Source organism: Homo sapiens, chromosome X (genome assembly GCF_000001405.40).
Source record: "Homo sapiens chromosome X, GRCh38.p14 Primary Assembly".
Classification (NCBI taxonomy): domain Eukaryota; kingdom Metazoa; phylum Chordata; class Mammalia; order Primates; family Hominidae; genus Homo; species Homo sapiens.
The window spans coordinates 109,737,365-109,743,964 of record NC_000023.11 but is presented as its reverse complement, the minus strand read 5'-3'; the positions used below and the strand labels follow the sequence as shown (position 1 = coordinate 109,743,964).

The 6,600-nt window shown below is 39.6% G+C and overlaps 1 annotated feature.

The window, feature by feature from the left end:
* Positions 2,771-3,065: a silencer, noted in NCBI's record as "tiled region #2605; K562 Repressive non-DNase unmatched - State 3:PromF". NCBI's record gives its function as "represses a minimal TATA promoter and a strong SV40 promoter by Sharpr-MPRA in K562 cells {active_cell/tissue: K562}" and the evidence as "EXISTENCE:reporter gene assay evidence [ECO:0000049][PMID:27701403]".

The window sequence follows — 6,600 nt, the reverse complement described above, 5'->3', positions numbered from 1 at the left end:
TGTATTTTTAGTAGAGATGGGGTTTCACCATGTTGGCCAGGCTGGTCTTGAATGCCTGACCTCAGGTGATCTGCCTGCCTTGGCCTCCCAAAGTGCTGGGATTACAGGCGTGAGCCACCACACCTGGCCAGAATATGGAATTTTTAAAAGAACCATTTATACTTTTAATGCCACATCATTTAGGAACACATGACATAGTATGCAAATGTGGTTAGATCACAAAATGATGTATTTGTTTATATTGCATGTAAATAAAAATTTATTCACATAATTATAAATTTAAAGCTGAATTAATAAAATAATTAAAATTTTATCCCTATATGTTGCCCATTAGAGAGAAGCAGAAAAACCCTTGAGGACAGATAAAAATATTGATGCTATAGTAAAACAAATTAAGATGTTATGTCTTAACACTTAGGGTTCTAAGCAGATATAGAAAATATTCATTCTGGCCCGGCGCGGTGGCTCACGCCTGTAATTCCAGCACTTTGGGAGGCCGAGGCAGGCGGATCACGAGGTCAGGAGATCAAGACCATGCTGGCTAACACGGTGAAACCCAGTATCTACTAAAAATATAAAAAATTAGTCGGGCGTGGTGGCGGGCACCTGTAGTCCCAGGAGGCTGAGGCAGAAGAATGGCGTGAACCTGGGAGGCAGAGCTTGCTGTGAGCCGAGATCGCGCCACTGCACTCCAGCCTGGGCGACAGAGCGAGACTCCATCTCAAAAAAAAAAAAAAAATTCATTCTTAGAAAATTAGCCAAGTTAAATGAGTGAGAAAAACACCTCATAACTCTTCAAACCTAAATTTTGCCCCAAGGGAACTTGGTCTACTCCGTTTTATTTTCTGAGATATTATTTTCTGCAGTATCTTCTCTAATGCTTCGTTACATGAACTTTTGAATATTGAAAGTTTACAATCTTTTGCTTCATTCTTTCGATGCAGTTTATTTCTTTTTAATAATAATTTGAGGTGAAATTCAAATAACAAAATTAACCATTTTCAAGTGAACGATTTACTGGTATTTAGTACAGTCACAATGTTGTGCAATCACCACCTCTATCTAGTTTCAAAACATTTCCATCTCTCCAAAATAAAACTCCTTATCCACTAAGCAATGTCTTCCCTCTCCTTAGCTCCTGGCATCCACTATTCTGCATTGTGTCTCTACGAATTTATTTTGGAGATTTCATTTAAATGGAATAGTACAATAAGTGATGTTTTGTGTTTGACTTCTTTTACATATTATTTTCTTTTTTTTTTTTTTTTGAGACAGAGTCTTGCTCTGTTGCCCAGGCTGGAGTGCAGTGGTGTGGTCTCGGCTCACTGCAACCTCTGCCTCAGCCTCCTGAGTAGCTGGGATTACAGGCACGTGCCACCACACCTGGCTATTTTTTTTTTTTTTTTTGTATTTTTAGTAGAGATGGGGTTTTGCCATGTTGGCCAGGCTGGTCTCGAACTCCTGACCTCAGGTGATCCACCTGCCTCGGCCTCCAAAAGTGCTGGGATTACAGGTGTGAGCCACTATGCCTGGCCTAATGTACTATTTTCAAGTTTCTTCCATGTTGTAGTGTGTATCAGTACTTCACTCCTTTTTGTGGATGAAAAATATTCCATTGTATAGGTGTACCAAATTTCTTTGTCTAGTTATATGCTGATGGTCATTTGGAGTGTTCCACCTTTTGGCTTTTGTAAATAGTGCTGCTATGAACATGAGTGTACATATATTTGAGTACTTGTTTTCAATTTTTTTTTTTTTTTGGACAGAGTCTTGGTCTGTCACCCAGGTTAGAGTGCAGTGGCACAATCTCAGCTCACTGCAACCTCTGCCTCCTGGGTTCAAGCAATTCCTATGCTCAGCCTTCTGAGCAGCTGGGATTACAGGCATGTGCCACCACACATAGCTTTTTTTTAAATTTTTTGTTAATTTTTAGTAGAGATGGTGTCCACCTTGTTGCCCAGGCTGGCCTCGAACTCCTGGTCTCAAGCAATCTACCTGCCTTGGCCTCTCAAAGTGCTGGGATTACAGGCATGATCCACCATGCCCAGCCTCAATTATTTTGGGTATATACTTAGGAGTAGAATTGTTGGGTTATTAGTAACTCTATGTTTAACTTTTTGAGGAACTGTTGAAGTGTTTTCCTTAACAGCTGCACCACTCTGCATTCCCACCAGCAATGTAGGAGGATTCCAATTTCTCCATATTCTTGCTAACACTTGTTATTTTCCAGTGCTTTTTAAAAAAATTATCTTTATAGCCATCTTAGTGGGTATGGAGTGATATTTAATTGTGTTTTTGATTTGCCTTTCCCTAATGACTAGTAGTGCTGAACACCTTTTCATGTGTTTCGTGGTCATTTTTAATGTAGCTTATTTCTTACATTTGGGTATTTCTAAACTTTTACAGCTTCTGTTATATAGTACAGAAGATGGAAAGATCAGAAGCAAACAAGAATGAGAAAGCTGTTTTTACAAAATTATATTTGTCAAATGCCCCAAATGGCTTCCTGGTCCTAACCCCTGAGAGTGTTACATTTTCTGCTACACTGGGAAGTTCCTTTCTGATATCAAGTCTACAGGCTTGGAATATTTGCTCATATAGTTAAATGAAATAGCAAGAATGTCATAAAAGTGGCAGACAGGGGTCGGGTGTGGTGGCTCACGCCTGTAATCCCAGCACTTTGGGAGGCTGAGGCAGGTGAATCACCTGAGGTGAGGAGTTTGAAACCAGCCTGGCCAACAGGCGAAACCCCATCTCTACTAAAAACACAAAAATTAGCCAGGCGTGGTGGCGGGCGCCTGTAATCCCAGCTACTCCAGAGGCTGAGGCAGGAGAAACGCTTGAACTCGAGAGGAGGAAGTTGCAGTGAGCCGAGATCACACCCTTGCGCTCCAGCCTGGGTGACAGAGGGAGACTCCGTCTCAAAAAACAAACAAGCAAACAAAAAGTGGCAGATAGGAAATAAGAAAAGCAAGCTATCAACACCATCAGCACGTTGGGTAAGGAGGAGTTTGCAACCTGGAGTGGACGTTTGTTGAGGGGTAGATTAAGCACATCCAGATGATAACAAATGTATTGGAAAAGTTTAGACTTTTTTCCATAACAAATTATGTAAAGGAGAAGAAATAATCTTTCTCTTCAAAAATTCCAGTTGCTTCCTCAGACATATTCCACATAAATCCAACAGATCATCTTTTTCTGTTTTCCTTAGATATTCCTGTTGATTTTTTAATCCAAGCAAATCAGGGCACTTTAGAAAGTGTGGTTATGATAACTTTGTTTATGGTTATATTGTAAAATCTCTAGGAAATAGTATGAGGTAGGCAACATGGCAAAGTGGGGTGATCACTGAACTGAGAGTCAGGAGATCTGTGTTCCAGTCCTCAGTTCTGAAATAACAAGTTTTGTAACCTTGGGTAAATTATTTAACCTCTTGGAGCCCCAGTTTCCTCATTTTTAAATAAATAAGTGACTGGACTTTTGATGATCTTTAAAGTTCTTTACAGCTCTATCATTCTATTTGAAAAGTTCATGTGTTAGGCACTTTAAATTTCACAGGCAAATGCATATCCTTTCTTTGTTTACATTTACAGAAAGTAAAACTGTTGCCTTGATCAAACCTGTATCATGAAAATGGTTCTTTTTTTTAAACAAAGAGGCCCAAGGACACAGACTTCGAAGTGCTGAAGCCATGCACCTCTTTGTGTACTGGCCAAGTGCCTGGGTACACTTGTACGTGTGATGATCTGCCCTCTGCCCTGAGGTTTCTTAATCTAGGTTTTGCAATGTGTGTCATAGATGTTTGTTTTTCAAACATGGTGCAACGGGCTCAGACAGGACATAGCACTGTCTCCTATTCAGTAGCTACAACACTTTTCATCTTCTGCATTTTTCCAGTCTTTCATGCTGTAACGTCTGTGATGATCTCAAATGAGGACACTTTAATTTTCATTTAATCTGATGATGCATTTTATTTTCTACAGGAAGGTACTGGGTTTTGAAACTCCCCCCTTTTTTTCCCATTTTGGGAAAAGTCATAATAAATGGTGAGGTCATTCTGCCCTGCCACTATAGGGGTTTTCTTCTAACATAGGCCCCAGTGAGCTCTGGGTCATCACATTGCCACAAGAGTACAACTGGCAACTTCAGTCTCTGATGAGGAGTCAGGAGTTTAAGATCTACCTGGGAAGGATTATGTTGCATTTAGGTACAGCACAGCATGAGTTTGTTCATAATCCTGGGATTAATACAAAAAGCCAATGGAAAGGGAAAGGCTAGCAATCTCAGATGAATGTCGCTGACATGGTCGATACATTAGTATTTTTTTTTTCAATTTTAGAGGTTTTCTCGTCTTGAACACTGTAGCAGATAAAGGCTCTATTAAATTTCACTATCAGATAACTTTATCAGGGAACTGATCTGATCTGGATTATCCGAAAATCTGATTTTGATATTTTTATTACCCCATGGCCATTTCTTTTTTGTTAATTTACAAATGTACTTTGCATCAGTGCTTTCCTTGTGTATCTGTATTTAGTCTTTCTTTCAGCCTTAGGTTAACTTTTTTTTTTTTTTTTAAATAGCAGCTTCTGCAATGCTGGGAAACAAGGTATGGTATGGGGTGTGGGGAAGGGAGGTATGATTGAAGCTGAAGGGTCTTTTTTTTCTTTTTTTTGAGACAGAGTCTCCCTCTATCACCCAGGCTGGAGTGCGATCTCGCTCACTGCAAGCTCCGCCTCCTGGGTTCACGCCATTCTCGTCTCAGCCTCCCCAGTAGCTGGGACTACAGGCGCCTGCCACCACACCTGGCTAATTTTGTTGTTGTTGTTGTTGTTGTTTTAAGATGGAGTCTCCCTCTGTCGCCCAGGCTGGAGTGCAGTGGCTCAGTCTCGGCTCACTGCAACCTCTGCCTCCCGGATTCACGCCATTCTCCTGCCTCAGTCTTGAACTCCTGGACTCAAGTGATCCTCCTGCCCCACCCTCCCAAGTAGCTGGGATTTCAGGCCTGGGCCACCACACCTGGTCTTAACCTCAACTTTTTACAAGCTTGTTTCAATGGTATCTATGAAATAGTTCAACAAATCTAATTTTGTTGCCAAAGGGCAAAAATTTAGGTAGGATGATCTAGAACAGCTTAGGAATTGGTCCTCCCTAAGACTATACTCTATTGAGCCATGGTGCAAATAGGCCCTAGTGAAGGTTCCCAAATTCTCTGTAGCTGTACATCACTGTACATAAGCTAAACACATTCCAGAAAGGCTATTTGTAAAGCAAATTTTCATTCAGTAAGGCTCATTTTTCCACTGATTGTCTCTTTATTCTTATTTATATTACAAAAGAAGTGCCTGTTCACTTCACCTGTTTTGCTCAATAGAAGTAAGTATATAAAGAAGTCTCTGATCCCTTTCTGTAGAGATAACAACTGTTCATTATCTGGAATAGATCTGGTACAGATCTGGTACAGATCTTTCCAGATGTTTGCTGCACACACATACTGTGACATATACTTATATTTTTTCAAAATGAGAATGAATTATGTGTATCGAACTGCAAATTGCTCTTATTTGCTTAATAATATATCACAAACATCATTTCATGTCATTATGTTTGCATATAGATATTTAAATAATTGTGCCTCATTCTTTTTTTTTTTTTTAACCTAACACAGTATTCCATAGTATGGATATGCCATAAGGTATTAACCGCATTCCTATTAATGAACACTTGGGATTTTTGATTAATTTTTCACTATTAAAATAATACTCTGGTTACTATTCCTGTGCATAGATCTTTGTGTATTTGTTCAAGTTTCTCTGTATAGTAGAGCCCTGTACATGAAAATGTCAAAGAGTATATGCATTTTAAAATTTAAAAGATACTGCCAAATTGTCTTTTAAAAAGGCCAGACTGGGTGCAGTGGTTCACGCCTGTAATCTCAGCACTTTGGGAGGCCGAGGCAGGTGGATCACCTGAGTTCTGAGTTCAAGACCAGCCTGCCCAACGTGGTGAAACCCCATCTCTACTAAAAATACAAAAGTTAGCTGGGCATGGGGGCGGGCACCTGTAATCCCAGCTACTCAGGAGGCTGAGGCATGAGAATCTCTTGAACCCGGGAGGCAGAGGTTGCAGTGAGCTGAGGTCGTGCCACTGCACTCCAGCCTGGGCAACAGTGCAAGACTCTGTCTCAAAAATAAACAAATAAAATAAAATAAAGGGGCCAAACCAATTTACGCTCCTACTTAGAATATATGAGTGCAAGTTTCTTCATATTCTTGCCAAAATTGAATATTATCAATCTAAAGATCTTACCAACTTGAAAAGAAAAATTAAAAATATTTAATAATCTTTTATATCTATTTCTAAAAGTAATAATTATTCATTCAAACATATTGTTAAAAATGTTTTATTTGAATAACAGTAATTTGGCTTGTATCAGGTGCCATGTAGGGTCCAAGTGAAGCAGACAGTTTTATTACAGAATTTTGGTTTGAAGAGGGATGCTTTGAATAAATATCCAAAGGTTTAATCAGTCCAATAGTCCCAGTGGGGACTATTCACTCAGTTTCAGAGTGAAATAGTCCCATAATTATTTAAGCATAA